Here is an 18,238-nt window from a genome sequence, read left to right as displayed (position 1 = left end):
TCTGTTATGGACTGAATAATTGTGTACTCACAAAATCCATATGTGGAAGCCCTAACCCCCAGTGTGATGGTATTTGGAGGTGGGCCTTTGGGAGATAATTAGGATTAAATAATATCATGAGGGTTGGTTCCTCATGATGGTATTTGTGTTTTTAAGAGGAAGAGACACTGGAGACCACTCTCTCTCAGCCATCTGGCCATCTGAGGACATAGCACTAAGTCAGGAGGAGATCTTGGACTTTGGCCTCCAGAACTGGGAGAAATACATTTCTGTTGTTTTACGCACCCAGTCTGTGGTACTTTTTTGTGGCAGCCCAAGCAGATGAGGACATTATCCCTCTCCCAAAAAAGATACACAGAGTCCTGCATGTGACCTCTTTCATCCGTGACTGATGGTTATTTCTCTTCTAGAGGACTCACACTCTCATTTTTATATCCTATGAATTAAATATGGAGATATAAAGTTAACCACTGTTAACACATCTTATATTAGAATGGAAAAAAAAAGAAACAAAGTGAAGGGATTTACGTATATAGATAAATTCATATGTGGATGTACATATGTGGTCCACTCTAACTGTGGACCATGGTGTTGTTTTGGGTCCCCAGGAATTTCCATTGGTTCAGAGCCAATGTCCAGTAATCCCTGAAATGTCTGGGTGTTTCTTTCCTCTCAGTGCACAGTCACCCTCGTAATTGTGGGCCCCTTTGCAGAAAGCTAAAAGGAAGATTTATAGAATAAAATTTTGGCAGTATAGCAGGGTTCTTCCCCAAGGAGATCCAGCTGTCAGGTAGTAAACCAGGAAGATGTCTGAGGGAAGAGTGTTCCAAAAACTAGACAGATCTTTGTATATGGATATGTGTGTTTACACACATATATATTCATATCGAAGCAAGGAAGAAATACCATCACTACTATAGATCTTGTTTTTGAAGCTGATCATGTGGCTGCAGCTGATAACCGATATTTATAGCCTTCTCCTTCCACTACTTATTTCATGTTACCTTTCCTTCAGCAAGCACCTCCACGGGGTAGTTCCTGATGTCATGGGGCAACCCAACCTTCATTCCTGCACATTCTGTGCCATTGACAGTCCTATCTATATTGGGTGGTTTAGTTTTCCATTTACTGTTACCACAAAACTGGAGGTACTAAAAAGATGCCCCAAGAATTATCTGCATTTCAGTGAAATCCCTCCCTCTTCTCTCCTACTGCCCTTGAGCAGTAGCTATTCATTTTCTTGTCATGGTGAAATCTCCCAGCCAGTACACTAACTTCCTTCTTTGCCTGTTAGTTCACTGGCACAAAGACCCCAACATGGCTAGATTTGTCTCCACTTGCAATTAGAAGGCAGCATTGTTGTGTTTTCTGATGAAAGCACTCTTTCCTTTGGAACCAATCTCTCTAAACCAGCAGAGCCCCAAGTTCCAGAAGCAGGAAGTAAAATGTTGTCGAGTTCATTAGTAGGGGCAGTAGTGAGTGGGCCATACTCACTCCCATCCCTTGGTCCCAGATCTATGCATCTTGGCTATGAAAGAAACAGCACCATATATTGGATGGGGATTCAGATTCTATATTATATCCAAAGGAACATTACCTCATCCACAAAAAGCATTATATCACATCCTGGCACTTTAATTAAACCTTCAAAAGGCCACTTCATTGTTCTGTCAGGCCAGCTGCTCCAGGTAAGTTCATTGAATTCTATGGCATCATTCTATTGGCATGCTTCATTTGCTGGAAATTGAGTTGCTTGGTTAGAAGTGACACTCCATGAAATACTATGACAGTGAATACGGCATTTGTTAGGTATGTCCACAGATAGTGGTTTTGGCAGAAGCATTATAGGGAAGGAAGAAAGATTTATGTTCAGAATAAGTGCATTTTCCAGTGAAAATAAGGGTCTTTCTCTTCCATAATAGAATTGTTATTGTGTAATCAACTTGCCACCAGGTAGCTGGCTGGTCCTATAGGGCCTTTAAGTGGCTGCATATGGGACTAAGTGTTGGCTTCTACTTTTGTCGTATTTGTCACTGTGAAAGTCTGAAAACATCTGCAAATTACCGGACACTCCTTCCATCAAGAGGTGGAGTCTCTGCCCTCTTACCTTGAATCTGGGCTAAACTTGGTGACTTGCTTCTAACCTATAGAAATGATGCCATAAGGCTTTCACGGCCATACCACTAGATGGCTGTCATAGCCATACCAATTCTGCTTGGCTCTCTTGGGACACTTGCTCTGGGCAAATCCAGCCACCATGTAAGAAGTTCGACCACTCTGAGACTGCCATGCTGGAAATGCCAGACAGGGGCGTTCCAATCATAGCCTCAGCAGTGTTCCTGGCTACCGCATCAACTTCCAGACAGACAGGTCTGCCATCTTTGATATCCAGTCCAGTCAAGCCTTTAGATTACTGCAGTTCTAGCCAACATCTGGCTGCAACGGCAGGAGAGACCCCAAGTGAAAACTATCCTGCCGAGCTTTCCCAAAATGGAACCCACAAAATTGTGGGAGAAATACAATGGTTTTAATTTCCTAAATTTTGGGGGTAATTTTTCTTTTGGTAGCAATAGCAATCACAACATATTTGGCATCTGGAGATGGGGCTTTACCAAAACAAAAACCTAACACATATGCTTATTGCTGGGGGCCAGGGAGCAGTCAAGCTGGAAGGACCCTGAGGAGGCTGATGCATTTGGATGCTCCAGGAAACAGACACCAAGAAGTTAGAACTGCAAGAGATTTACTGGGGGGTAATGCCTAAGGAAGAAGGAGGAAAGGGGGCAGAAGTGCAAATGAGATGCCTTAAGACCACAAGTTTAGATGTGACTTTGACACCTGTAAAATGAGGCAGAAGGAAGAGGAAGGAGGATTGGCTAGAAGGATCCTCTAACTGCAGCTCTGAGAAAATGTCAGCCAATGGGTAGCTCCAGCACAAAGATTGTCACAGAAGGTGGGCATGCTGGGCAGAAATGGCCAAGCCTGGATGCCCATGCCATGTTGAGTTATTGACTGGAAGCTGCCTTGAAGAGTGTGGGGGCCTCCGCCCGAATGCTGCAGTGGACCTGGGAGGCACTTGCCGCTGAGGTTTTCGGCTCTTTGCACTCCTTGTGGTAGGTTCTGTCTGGAAGAGATCTGAGCAGTGCATCTCTGTGGCTACACAAGACTATTAAGGAAACTTGATAGGCCCAGGAGGCTGTCAGTGAGGATGTATAGGAAACTAAGGAACATGCTCTTCCCTGATGGAGGAAAGGAGGTCCTCGTTATGTAATAGAAAAAAGTTTAGTAACTGTTGCCTATGGTAACATGAAAAAAATTTTTAATGTACCTGCTGACTTGATGCATTTAATGAAAGAGATTTCCAAATAGAATGCTGAAAGTGTCCACTAGGGTCTTGCAGCTACAAATCACAGGGTACAAATAGTGATAAGCTAAAGAGGACATGTAAAGGAGCTAACCTGGCTAGGTTCAAAACTAAAAGTTTCTCATCCCAGTCTCTTTCAGCAGAGTGAAACTGGCCTCACTGTAACTGTGGGCCACTGTGTTGTTTGGTGTCCCCGTGGGTAGTGTTTCCTGAAGTTGGGGGTACACAGGCTGGTATGTGACTCATGCCGGAGAAGCTTCTAAATGACAGTGGGCCGGGGTCTGATCCTGCAGGTGGAATCAGTCCAGACGGCCAGAGAAGGGCCGTGCTGGGGCAACAGGAGAATGCGGCCCTCTCCTAAAGCTGGCTGAGGTTCCCGGAGCAAAGGATGGCCTGGGTTCATCTAGGGCACTGTTCATTTGCACTACTGGAGGGGTGAGGAGCCTGGGAGAAGAGGCTGGAGTGTGCTGCAGGACGCCAGGGACTGAGGATGGAATCTCAAAGGAGTGGAAAGAACAAAGGATGTAGGAGAGAGGGGCAAACAGAGAACCTCTGAAGAGGCCAGGAAAGAGTCTCAAGAGGGAGAAAAACTGCCTCCAATTCTCCCCCAACCCCGCAGAGCAGGAAGCCTTACCAAGCCCTTAAGAACAGTCAAGGTCCTGTTTTTCCTAGCCTGTGACTTGAATGAATAAGGGAGGGGGTGGTCACCAGGACCCAGAGAGACAATTGAGTCCAGTAGGCAACTGACAGGAACTGAGACCCCCTTCCAGGGGCAGCCCACCCAGTACCAGCCACAGGGAGACAGCTGGGGGAATGGACATCTTGACCTGATTCCCTTCTTCCCTCCCATCTCTTGCTAAAGCTTCCCAGTGACCAAAACCCACTGGAAGCCAGAGGCAAGGGAGCCTGTTGATGGGGTCCTTCGAGGTCATCTTCCTGGGCACACAGCATGGTGAAGGGCAGGGGAAGGAGCCAGCATTCTCCCTTTTATCTTCCTTCATCCCCCACTCCACCTCTCCCACACTGGAGGAGGCGGCTAGAGATCCAGAGTCCAGTAGACCATGATGTAAGCAGGATGAGAGAAGGGAGAGGAAGAACCACATTACCGCCACCTTTTCTGTTGCATTTCTAACTTCAGCATCCTGAGAAGGGGACAGAAGAGGAGAGGAGACAGAGGATGCAAAGTCAGGGTTTTGACCATTATAGGGACAATCTCATCTCTGAATAGAGACGAAGAATATGAGTCCAATGGCTGAAGGGCCAAGAAGAAATGCCACGGGATCTGCCTGAATCTTCATCCAGGGGCAGGAAAGGGCCACCCCCACTGAAGAAAGATGAAGGCATAGTGGAAGACAAATCTGTTGTGTTTGGATCACACTGACAAGGTTAACATTCATGCTTAAAAGTTCATGGATAATAAGCAGTGATTCCAGAAACTGGCGCTCCGGCTGCTCCTTCCAAAGTCCCTCATGCCACCCTCTCATGCTCTGCCACTGATCCTTTTTTACTTCCAGGGGCCTGGTTTGCTTATGGCTCCCATGTGAGCACCGCCAGCAGCAGGAGAGGCCTTCAGTTCTCCTCCCAGTCCTCACGACGAAGAAACTCATCAGGCGTGATGCCCAACACCCTGCATGCCATGCATTTTCCTTCGGATTTCCTTCTGATTTCCTTTTCTTGAGCAGGGTGAACCGGCCCTGTGGTATCAATGCCTATCCTGGTCACCATCCCCCACACAGCTGTTTGTGTCTGCATTCTCCTCCTGGCTGCCATGATGAGCCTGGCAGCTGCATGCTCCTGCATGTGAGTGGCCTGCAAATGTCCAGGGGAGACCACTGACAGTGACCACTGAGGAGATGTGAGTCTGGCTCAAGCCCCCCGGGCTTGAGTGGCCATGTCCTCCTTCGTTGCTCATGGGAAGACTGCCCCCCATGTGACAGCTGACTTGCAGCATGTGGTGTGTGTCTGTCACCCTTTGCAGCCTGTCACAGCTTTCCTGATGCATTTGGATGGAAAGTGCTACCCCATCTGCAACTGACGCATGTCAGGCCAATGTATCTACCACTCTGTGGCAGACCCAAGCTAAATTAGCGGTTCGCTTCTACGTCTGCTCCCTAATTATTGCTGTTTGCATTTGGTCTGGTGTTTTCCTTGTATTCGAGATCAGCTGCAGCTTGTCCAGCTGCTTGGGCTCTCCACTCAGCACACATTTACCAAGCACCTAGGAGGCACGAGGAACCATATCAGGTGCCAGGGAAGATTCGCTTCAAAGGTCCCATGATTCCAGTTCTAATGTTCCTTCCACAGAGGACTCTGCTCCCTCCAGTCATCACATGAAGGCTGGTCACTGAGGGTCGCCTCTCCCCTCCACCCTCTACTCCATGTGCACCCACTCCCAGGGCCCAGTCTCATGGCTTCTGCCACCAGCTCTGGGTGGATGCCTCTGAAATCTCTATTTTAGGCCTTGAGTTTGTGCCTAAACTTCCTCTCTCTTCTCCTGGATGTCTTATACGTGATTCCATATAAAGTTCAGTGTCTTCCTCCTCATTTTTTCTGCCACTTCATCTTATTCTGCCTCTTCTGGCTTTTGTTTTATGGATTCACTTCCCAATCACCCAGATTAGAAAACCCTGTCACTGCTTCCTATATTCAACATTCAATTGGAAACTAACTCCTGTACACGTTACCTCAACTAAAGCAGCTCCAATCCTCTCCAAACCCTGTCTGCATTTAATCCCCATCATCTGCTGTGCCAATGTGGCCCCAACCTCAGCCCTCCTTGATATAAATGCCCCCTTTGAGTGTTACCCAAGGGCAAGGCTGAACACATCAGATCTGGGCCCCAACCTGCTATGTGCCACACCTCTCCCATGGCACTCACCCTGCCCACAGCACCAAGGTTGTCACCATCCCTGACAGCCAGTGTGACATATCCCCTGACCCCCTGCTGGTGGTGTGCCTGGACTGAGGCTGGTGGTGTGTTGGATCTGAGGGGCCCAGGGGAGCTCCTTTCAGGCTTGGGCAGGAGTGGGGAGTGCTGCCAGGGCCCAGGGACACAGTGAAGGTCCTGCTGGTGGAGGGGAAGGCAAGACAAAGTGCACAAGACATCTCTTCCTTGACAAGAACGTCCATTGTTGGAATCATTATAAACCAGTGGAGCTTTTGTCAGAGAGACATGAAGTCTGATATAATGAGCTATCATCTTGCTTCAGCTGCACTGGGTAAGTGAGCCAGTCCTCATGCTATCAAGGTGAGAAATCATGGCCACCATGAGCCAGGAGCTTCCTGCAGCAGGACCCAGGGTTACAGAGAATCGTATTATTTACTCTGCTCACCTCCACCAACAAAGGAAAAACAATGCTGTCTGGTTACTATTGCTACCTAACAAACCATTCTGTATTTAGTGACATAAATCAACAAGTTTATTATGCTCAGGGTCTCTGTAGGTCAGAAATGCCAACAGGCACAATGAGGACACCTTGACTTTTCTCTTATGCCTCAGACTGGAAGACCCACAGATCAGGGGTGACTTGGAATCTGGAGGCTGGAATCATCTGGAGATGTCTTTACTTGTGCATTTGGCAGCTGATGCTTTTGACCAGCCTTCAAGTGGCCCGACAGCCAGAACGGCCACACATGTCCATGACAGCTAGTCCAGGCTTCCTCAGGGCAGGGCAGAGTGGTTGGGTTCCAAGAGTGAGCACCCCAAGAGGACAATGAAGGGATGCATGGCTTTTTTTTTTTTTTTCGACAGAGTCTCACTCTGTCACCAGGCTGGAGTGCAGTAGCACGATCTTGACTCCCTGCAACATCCCTCTCCCCAGTTCAAGCAATTCTCCTGCCTCAGCCTCCCGAGTAGCTGGAACTATAGGCACGCACCAAGCCTGGCTAATTTTTGTATTTTTAGTGGAGACAGGGTTTCATCATGTTGGCCAGGATGGTCTTGATCTCTTGACATCATGATCCACCCGCCTCGGCCTCCCAAAGTGCTGGGATTACAGGCATGAGCCATCACGTCCAGCCAGATGTATGGCATTTTAAAAACCTAGCCTTGGAAGTTGCATAGCTCATTTCTGCCATACCCTAACCATCAGGGAAATTACAGAGGCCGGCCCAGGTTCAAAGGGAGAAGAGTCTCCACCTCTTGCTGGGGAGAGTACAAGGTTCTCAAAGAGCATGTGGAACAAGAGATATTGTTGGGAGATCTTTGGAAAATACAGTCCACCACAACGCCCTTCCTCCTCCATGAAGCTCTTAGGTGACATTGCAATGTTCCCTGTGTCAAGAAGAGGAGGTGGTTCCTCACCTGTTGTTGTATAAATAAAAGATGTGGGTGATGGGGGGTGGGGGAAGATACAGGTTTAATTTTACCCCTAGGCCATTTTTAGAACCTACATCACTGCCTGCCTCTCCTTCCTTTGGAGGGTTCTGGAGATAAAAATATTTACAAATCAATGCAAGGCCAAATAAAAGATCCTCAGAGGCAGTTTAGAAGAGTGGTTCAGAATTATGAATTAGATCCTCTTTGGTGTTCCTTAGGTTATGCAGATAAAAATAGAAAAGAAAAATTTTAATTTCCTCTGGCTGTATTTCTCTGAAAGCCACACTGAACTGTAATATTGTACTTACCTATTCATTAATTATTTTTCTGGTAGTATCTTTGAATTCTATCTAATATAACTCAAATTTTCCAAGGTGTCAGTATGTGAGTTTATCTGGGATCATTGCCATGGCCTTCATTCAAATTTCTCTGGCTCTAGCCCCATCTGCTGATGAAGGACCTCCAGCTTGTGTGCCCATGTATTTCTGGGGAACCTCTCACAGTGTCAGTGTTTCTCTACTCAATTGGACAGCACCTTCTGGGGACATCCTCCCCTCCAGCCTCCAGTCTCTGCTGCTGTTCTTTGGACCACTATGCATGCCCCTGGGCTCTGGCCATGCCAACATGTCCAGGAATTGCAGGCAATCCTTTACTATTAATAGAAGAGTTCCCAGTGCAGTTCTTTGAGGGCTCTCAGACTTTAGAGAAGAGACTACTTTTGCATGAATTGAAAATGTTTTCCCTGGTCTTTGTTCTGTGTGCAAGTGGGGGGTGTTGGGGTAGAAGTGAGAATACTGTCTCCCTCTCCTGTGTCTTCAGCTGTGGATGGTCAGTGGCCATCACCTAGCCAGTGGTGCATAATGAGATTCCTGACAGTGTGGATCCCTTGTCATTGTTCTCACCTGTCGTCAAAGTACAAACAGATACTGGATCTCCAAGAAAGCTTTGGGTATTCTTTCCAAAAAGCTCCGATAATTGACCCAACTTTGTACACCACTGGTGAAAGAACTGCCAGCCCCTTCACTGTCATTCCAGAAGCAAAGCCTCGCACTCTAGGACTTGAGTTGATGTCCTCAATTGATACTCTTTCCATAATCCATGCTTCCATTCCTCTCTTTTCTCAAGCCCTGTCTTCTTAATCCTCTTCCCCCAACAGGACCCCAGCTGTCCCGTTTTCTTGGAAGTACCAGACCTCTCTATAAAAGTGATCAAAACTAAGCCTTCTGCTGTGTCTTAAAAACGTTGTCAATTGCATCATTCTGGGAGCCGCAGAGAGAAAGGTAGGATCTTGTTTTGCTGCAGGCTGACCTTGTGAGGTTTAGGTTTAGGTGGGGCCATCTGGAAGAGTAAGCTCTACCCCTTAGAACAGGGCAGGAGGAGGGGAGGACTCTTCCATTCTGAGATACAAATAAAACCCACCTTATACCATGAACATTATTTTCCAAAAAACCCTGATTTGGACTCCATATGGCAGTCATATATATTCTTTCTGGTAACATAACTTTGCTTGGCCTCATTTCTTGTGAACAGTCGTGGTCTTATTTTGTTTAGAGATTGTTCATGCAATAGCTGCCTTGGGTAACCAACAGAGCTGTAGGACGTTGTCAGACAATGACGCATTCTGTGCCCAATCTCTTCTCCTGAATTCCCAGGATTCACCTCCAAGTTAGGAAGGCAGTGGTATTTTTATTTAAGTAGCTACCCTATGCAAAGCCATATCTCTCCTTAGGACTCAGCCAGTTTCCCCAGGTTCTGCTAAAGGCGTATTTTGGAATTGTCACCACACTATCCTCTGAGCCACCACTCTTCTCGGGAGGTTAAAGTCTGTTCCTGGTACAGCTCTTGAAGCCAACCCCTGCACTCATCAGGTTGAGTTCTCCCCCAAAAATGAGTTAACAGAGCAGGTCTGAGGCTGCTATGCTTAGAAAGACCTGCAGGCATGGCCGTCATCTGGGAACTTGGACTTGGGGAGGGTTTCCACCTTCCCCAGAATTGATAAGCGTGGCTCACAGTACCTAAACAGACGATGTGGTATATGTTGAACTTCTGCTTTCCCTTCTGGGAGTCTGGAATTTTGGTATGTGCCAGGTAGAGGCAGACAATAAAAGCCTTGGGCCCTGAGTCTCTAAGAAGTATTCCTGGTAGACAGCATTTAACACATGGCATGACTTGTTGCTGGAAGAATTGAATATATGCCATGTGACCCCATGGGGAAAAGACTCTTGGGAGCTTTCCTCTGGTTTCCTCTGGGCTTTCCCCCATGCACACTCCTTTTGCTGATTTTGCTTTACATTCTTTAGTTGTAATAAATTATTGCCATGAGTATGACTATAGGCTATGTCCTGTGAGTCCTCCGAGCAAATTACCAAACGCGGTGATGGTCTTGGGGGTCTCTAAATGCTCCTTCATCCCAGTTTGTTCTCCCACCCCTGTGAGTCTTTCCTCAATCGCCCTACCATTCCCTGGAGACATCCAGATACACCTGGTGATATGGTTTGGCTGTGTCCTCACCCAAATCTCATCTGGAATTGTAGCTCCCATAATCCCCATGTGTCATGGGAGGGACCTGGTGAGAGGTAATGGAATCATGGGGGAGGGTTTTTCCTGTGATGTTCTCATGATAGATAATAAGTCTCACAAAAATCTAATGGTTTTATTGTTCCATGCACATGCTCTCTTGCCGGCCACCATGTAAGAAGTCCCTTTGTTCTTCCTTCATCTTCTGCCATGATTGTGAGGCCTCACCAGCCATGTGAAACTGTGAGTCCATTAAACCTCTTTCCTTTATCAATTACTCAGTCTTGGGTATGTCTTTATTAGCATCATGGGAAAGAACTAATGCACCTGGACAGCAGTAATGAGTCCAGCCGAGGTGGACCCAGCCTGTATGCCCACTGAAATCTGCTTTATAACACATTTTCCAATGACCTAATTTTTAATTCACATTTTTCTATATCATTACACTTCATATGCCGTTATAATATACCTTGAAATTTTGTGGAATGGAATGATATAAATATATAAATGAAGCCTGTTTGATTATATACAATAAAATTAGGAATCAATAAAAGGATAGATAAAACAATATTTTTGAATCTAAAAAACAGACTACAGAGTGATAATTGGGTTAAAAAGAAATAAATGAGTTTAAATGACAATGAAAAGATGATTTGTCAAAATACGAAAGATGAAGCTCATTGCTTAGAAGAAAATTTAGAGCTTTTGTTAAAAGACACTTTTTTGGATAAAACTATAACTCTCCTTTAAATGTAGAATAAATAAACGTGAGAGATTGTATTTAGCTCACTAATGAGTGAACCTGTAGGGTATTACAACTGCTTCAAAGGAGAATTCAAGAGTCATTAGCATATAGCATGCAGGATGCTAAAATGAATTTACAAATAAATACAAAATCAGTATATCCACAGGGCAATGACCAAATGCAATCTCCTTGACACATTTTTGTCTTATTATCAATTGTCTACAAATTACATGGTTATTGAAGTAGACAATGAAATCTGGAGACAACAAAGAAAAGTGGGCCAGAGAGGTGACCCAGTAATTTAGTTTTGCCCATTTAAAAGTCTTTCACAACTTTTCTTGAACTTTGAGTATGTTTATTAAAAAATATCAAAGACAAAAACAAACTTAGAATTCAACTCAGGAAGCTTGAAAACAAGCAAACATACATAACTCAAAGATAGAAGAGAAAAATCAATTATGAAGATAGGACAAAAATCAATGAATTAGAGGACAACAACAACAACAAAAAAAAACAAATAGAGAAGCCTGTTTATTTGAAAAGACTAATCGGGTAAACTCTGGTAAGATGTTTGAAAGAAAGAGGAAGGTGATGCAAATGATGAAATAGAAAGATGATTAACAAAATGTAGGATGAAAGCATGAACATGGCTAACTATGTAAAAGAAATTTAAATTTCTTAATAAAATATTAAATAAACTATACACCAATACATTTGAAATTTCAGGAAAACTATCTCATGACAAAATTGGCATTAAAAATAGAAAACTTAAATTGACCAATAACTTTTAAAACTTTACAATGTTAAGAAACAAACTTTGATCTACAAACTCCTTCCCCCATCACCAAATTCCTGAGTTCTTGGAAGTTTTATGAGAATTCAAGAAAATGTTCAAAATATAAAATAGTCTATGTCATTTAAGGTGGTCTGAAAAAGGAAAAGAGATGAAAAACTGCTTAAATATTTATATGACACTTAAAATGATTTTAATATCTAACTGGATATTCAAAAATATATGGAGCAATTTCATTTATGGATATGAATATAAACTCTTAAATACAATACTAATTGCCCAGGTGCGGTGGCTCACACCTATAATCCCGGCACTTTGGGAGGCCAAGGCGGGTGGATCACCTGAGGTCAGGAGTTTGAGACCAGCTTGAACAACGTGGTGAAACCCCGTCTCTACTAAAAATACAAAATCAGCTGGGTGTGATGGTGCATGCCTGTAATCCCAGCTACTTGAGAGGCTGAGGCAGGAGAATTGCTTGAACCCGGGAGGCGGAGGTTGAAGTGAGCCAAGATTTTGCCACTGCACTCCAGCCTGGGCAACGAGAGCGAAACTTCATCTCAAAAAATAAAAAAAATAAAAAATAAAAATAAAAAAATAAAAAAAATATATATAGAGAGAGAGAGAGTAACTAATTTCATACCATTGCATTAAAAATCACACATCACTGCGAGTAACCTTTATCTCAGGAATGCAGAAGTGGTTTAATGTTACAAATTCAATCAATTTAATTTACATTAATCTATAGGAAAGGAGAAGCATTGCACCATCATGTCAATAGGTCAGAAGTTTAATAGTTACGATTTTAAGCGGAAAAAAATGAACTCTTAGAACAATGGATATTTTTTAAAAAGAACTTTAACTTGGTAATAATTTTTGCTAAAAACTTATAGCACACAAAATCCTTAAAGATCCGTTATTTATATGCATTTTATTATGGTCTGCACAAGAAAAGGATGTTTTCTATGCCTGTTACTGCTCAACATGCTACTGCAGATTTTGACCCCCCAAAGATACAAGTACAAACATAAGAGGTATTAGGATATCCTTACTTGCAGATAATGGGATTATTTTCATAGAAAGCGTATGAGGAAAAAGACAAGTTGTTAGAACAAGTAAGTTCGATAAATTTTCCAGATATGAGATCAGCAGACGAAGTCTCACAGTGTCCCTCTACATCAGTAATCTTGAATTAAAAGTGTAGTAGAATATTAGCTGCCATTTACAAACAAAAATTTGCCATTCAGAAACAAAATTCATAAAGTACCTAAGGATTAACCAAAGACTGCAAAAATATTGAGAAAAATTTAGATTCTATTACAGGACATGAAGAAGTCCTTCTAAATGGTTGTACATACCATTGTGCGTGGATAGGGTGATTAAATATTAAAACTTTGTCAAATCTTTGATAATTAATATATAAGTTCAATTAATTTCCAATAAAAACAATAGCATTTGGGAGCTCAGCAAATAGCTAAGACAAATTTTAAAATGAAAACGAAAATGAACTGCAGATTCAACTTACTACATACAAAGGTCTTCCCTTGGTCCATTACCATAAATGCATACTAAATAATACAAACGAAGGTATTGTGATAATGACAAAATAATAAATAAAAAAGGACAGAAATTAAAAATAGACCTTTGGAAATTGTATGATAGATGATAGAAATATCATCATTAGTAAAGGGCTGACAGGTGAATTACTTAGTAAATCATATTGGGAAAGAGAAAAAATAAGCATCCCTACTTCCCAACTAAGCAAACATAAAGTTCAAATAGATTAAAAATGCAAATTTAAAAGACACATTTATGAAGCTAATAGAAAATAAATATATGAATATGTTAAGATCTTGGGGGAGGGGGAAGATATTTTCAGCAAGGCCCCTAATATCAAAACTTATGTGCAAATGTCTAAAACAAGAGGTAAGTGTCAAAAACACCTGAGAGATTCAGAGATCAGAAAAAGAAGGAAAAAAAAAAGGAGTAGGAAATTGACAAAAGGCAAAATCTAATTGGCTAATTCGTATATTTCACTGGCAATCAGAAAAGACAAAGATAGTCAAACTTAATGTTATTAAGTACTGAGAAGACGTGGACAAACAGGAACACTCCTTCTGCTCTCAGAAACAGCAGGTCTTGGTGACCTTAGGTAAGTGCAGGGAGATTGATGGTCAAAGCACTTAATAATTAGTTTCCCATGCAACAACCAATCAGAACAGATGCCTGGCCAATCACAGAGAAGTCACCCTGCAATGCATATGCCAGCACAACTCACACCTAGTTCCAGAAAGAAAGGTGGGTCTGGGTTTTACAACAGTGTTGTCTGTGATAGCAGAGTTAGGGGACACCCATGTCCAGCATTCAGGGAAATGCATGAAGAAAATGACATTTGTGCTTCAAATGCCAATCTTTTTGGTGTCAGACATCATGAGTTAGATGTACATACAGAAACATGGCTAGATCTTTAAAAAGTAGTAACCAGAAAAAAGACTAAGAAATTAAGTGAAAATTAAAGCATGAATCAATCTTGGTAAATTTTAAAAATCACATACCCCATGAAATACATGTTTTTAAAGGACATATATATACCACAATGAATGTATGAAAGATAATTTGAAGGACAGAAATGAAATAAAGTGAATTGGATGTCTGTGGAAGAGTGGAATGGGTGTGGGGACGTGGGATGACAGAGAAAATAATTAAAATGCATATATCCTTGCATTCATAAATACATAAATAAACCAGGCAGAGGCTTCACGTGAAGTAATAAGGGTGATATCTAATGAATGAAAAAATACGATGATCTCTCTTCAGTAAAGCTTAGATCCTAAGCAGGAAGTGAGGGGATAGGAAATCAGTAAATTAATATTGCTTTCTTATTTATTTATGTATTTTTTGAGACGGAGTCTCGTTCTGTCGCCCAGGCTGGAGTGCAGTGGCCCAATCTCAGCTCACTGCAAGCTCCATCTCCTGGGTTCACGCCATTCTCTGCCTCAGGCTCACGAGTAGCTGGGACTACAGCCGCCCACCACCACACCCGGCTAATTTTTTGTATTTTTAGTAGAGATGGGATTTCACCGTGTTAGCCAGGACGGTCTCGATCTCCTGACCTTGTGATCCATCTGCCTCGGCCTCCCAAAGGCTTTCTTATTTTTATACTTCTCTTAGGGAATGAGAAATCACCTAACAAGAAACAGAGAAGTTCACATTAGTGGTCACTCAAAAAATTTTTAAACAAATATGAGTGCTTACTATGCAAAAGCATTGTCTAAACCCCTTGGGCTACACAGATGACCAATAAAAATGTGCTTCCTAGGAAAGTTTATGTTCTAGAAGGAGGAAATAGTAGAATCTCTGAAAAAGACCTGTTGTCCTCCATAGGAGTGTTCCAGGCCTGGCCTTACTAATGAAGAGAGCACCAAGAGGCAGGATAGTCCATGTTTCCCATTGAAGGACAAGGACAAGGCTGTTGAGATTAGTGTACCTTTGTACCTAATTTTCACAGCACTTGAAATGGTGGTCGAAGGAAGGAAACTGAGGAAGAGGAAGGAGACAGGCAGGCAAGGTGTGTGACCTCAGAATGTCTGAGAAGATGCCAGACATTCCAAACTGCACATGGGGTGTGTGACCTGCCAGGATATTTCCTGCCTTATGAACTCATTTAAAGGGAAAGACATACAACATACCATCATACCATCATTAGATCATCACTTCATTTAGTTACACATTTAATAAATTATCTTTACCCAAAAAACAAAGGATATATGGAAGCAAGCAGCAAAGACCACACCAAGAGTGAATACATATGCGAGCACATATACATACATATCACATGTATCACACATACATATTTGTTTTTATAAACATATATTTGAAAGTTTACATAAATAAACTTTTTCTCAGACTGTTTTTGTGGGCATGATATTGATATTTTCTCCCTGGAGCTTGGGACAGACGGGGCGCCCGCTGCATTTGGCCACGTGAGGGGTCACAGTGATGAGTCCTTTGGGACTCTCTCTGAAGATGAGAGTGAGTATCAATAAACCACAGGCCAAATCTTCCCTCTGACTGTTTTTGTACAGCCTGTGAACTAAGGACTGGTTTTACATTTTTAAATAGTTGGAAAAAATCAAAAGAAGAATCATATCTTATGATATGTGAAAATTATAGAAATTCAAATTTCATTGTCCACAAAGTTGAGTTGGAACTCAGTCCCTCTGGTTTGCGTTTTGCCCATGGCTGCTTTCTCACTGCAGCAACAGAGCTGAGTAGCTGCAACAGATTTCCCATGGCCCACAAAGCCTGAAATACTTACTCTCTGGCCCTTCACAGTTAAGTGGACTGTGGAGAAAAATTTCCCATTGAGAATTGTTCAAAGAAATGCTGTGAAAACATGTCATTTCTTTATTGGTTAATGGGTTATAAAAATCACCTCTCAGGTCACCTTGAGAAATCCCTGCCTCAAAGGGCAGCCGTCATTGTCAACTCCATCCCCAAACCAAAGCCCCAGACACCCTCCAGCCTCCACGAGTGCAGACATTCATGGCAATATTTCCACAGCACTCAGTTTATACTCACTCCACTTTAAAACAATACCTTTAATCGCTTGTCATCTCACATGGGGTCCTGCACGCTTTTGCCTTTGTAGGAAACCTGACATTTGTCTGTTTCTTCTTTCTCTTTTCCTTCCCATATCCTCCTAATTTACGTTTGACTTGTTTGCTGAGGAGGCAGGAGCTAGAGACTGCTGTGAGCTCATAGGGGTGGGAAGTTTATCCTTCAAGTCCCGCCCACTCATCACTGCTTCTCACCTTCCCCTGACCAGGCTTACAAGTGGGTTCTTGCCTGCTTTCCCTTTGGACCCAACAAGCCCCTGTAATGAGTGTGCATGACTCTGACAGCTGTGGACTCAGGGTCCTTGGCTACAGCTGCCATGTAAAATATCTCATCCAGTTCTCGCAAATTGTTAAAATAACCACATTTCTTAGATTCCAGTACCCAAATCATGTCTTTACGACTGCTCCTCACACCCAGAAGTGGCACAATAATTCTTGGGAGTATTACTTTTTTTTTCTCTCTTTTTTTTTTTTTTTTTTTTTTTTGAGACGGAGTCTCACTCTGTCTCCCAGGCTGGAGTTCAGTGGCATGATCTGAGCTCACTGCCAACTTTGCCTCCCAGGTTCAGGCGATTCTTGTGCCTCAGCCTCCAGAGTAGCTGGGATTACAGGCACATGCCACCATAAGCGGCTAATTTTTGTATTTTTAGTAGAGACGGGGTTTTACCATATTGGCCAGGCTGCTCTTGAACTCCTGACCTCAAGTGATACACCCGCCTCAGCCTCCCAGCAAGCTGGGATTACAGGCGTGAGCCACTGTGGCCAGCCTGTTTTTCTATATTTTGTTTTGAAAAGTAGGATACCTATAGATTTAACCCTAATAGCCTCAGTGTGCGATAATTGCTCTATTCGTCTGTATTACCCTTGATTATATGTCACTTGAAGGCAGGGGCTGGATTGGTCACTTCAGCAGCCCCGGCGCCTGGCACAGTGGTTCATTCAGAGGGAGCACCACGTGGGAAACCTTTGTTGATTGAATTGAAAAAAAAAAAAAAACGTTGATCAGACACCCATTTGTCTTGATCTTTCACCTCCCCTCAAAAGCGCATGAGATTTTGCATATCCTGAAGCTGCTGAAGATAGTAACACTGCACTCCACTCAGCTGTGGATTTAATTTGAGTTCTGTTTTCTGCATTGTTCATGCCCCTGTTTTTTGTCAGTGGACGTTTGATGAACACCTTCTCTTTGCCAGGGACTTGGGCAAAAGGGGCAGAGTGAGGCAAGAGGCCCTGCAGCCCTTCCACAAGGCCGTCTCCCACCCCGCCCCAGCCCATGCTCACCCCTCTGCCCTCCCGCCTCAGTCCTGGCTGCCTCTGAGTCTGCCTCCCACACCAGATTGACAGCTGCTTGAGAGCAGCTTGGGGTCAAGTTCCTGCATCTGTGTCCTCAGTACCTGACACTCATTTAGTCATCTCAATAACTACCTGTCACTTACGTCATGTAGCCCATGAGAACAGAGAGGCCTAGTGGAAACAGGGCTGGGAATGAAGCCAGGTTCTGTGGCCCCAAGGGCCGTCCCTTTTTACTCTGACTACCTGCACATCAATTGTGTAGTCTGGTCTGCAGTCAGGTGGCCTTTGCTCTGGGCTGTGGTTATTTTAGAAGCTAAATATAACTTCATGAACCATGAGAGGTGTCAGGAAAAAATACAACTGGCACTCACCACAGGCATTCCTCCCCATCAGGGTAGAGAAAATCAAAGCCCTTGAAATCAGCAAATGATGCCAAGAGCCTCTGAGCACGAAACCACATGGCAGACCCTGGGCCCACAAAGACATTAAACCCCAGGCCCTGTCCTTGGCTGCTCATGGTTTGAGGAGTCCTCCAGTTGCAACTCATTGTGTGAGTACTCATCCCAACTACATGAAGCATTAAGATGGGACC

The 18,238-nt window shown here is 43.5% G+C and overlaps 1 long non-coding RNA gene across 1 annotated transcript; it reads left to right on the top strand.

Annotated features, from left to right (window-relative positions):
- HPYR1 (Helicobacter pylori responsive 1) lies at nucleotides 8,937–9,918 on the top strand. The gene has a single exon (NR_026684.1). It is a non-coding gene; the product is annotated as a Helicobacter pylori responsive 1 (long non-coding RNA).
- The last annotated feature ends 8,320 nt before the right edge of the window (nucleotides 9,919–18,238 follow it).

The sequence above is a fragment of the Homo sapiens genome, chromosome 8, assembly GCF_000001405.40.
Source record: "Homo sapiens chromosome 8, GRCh38.p14 Primary Assembly".
Classification (NCBI taxonomy): domain Eukaryota; kingdom Metazoa; phylum Chordata; class Mammalia; order Primates; family Hominidae; genus Homo; species Homo sapiens.
The sequence above is the reverse complement of the archived record's forward strand: the minus strand, read 5'-3'. Positions and strand labels throughout refer to the sequence as shown.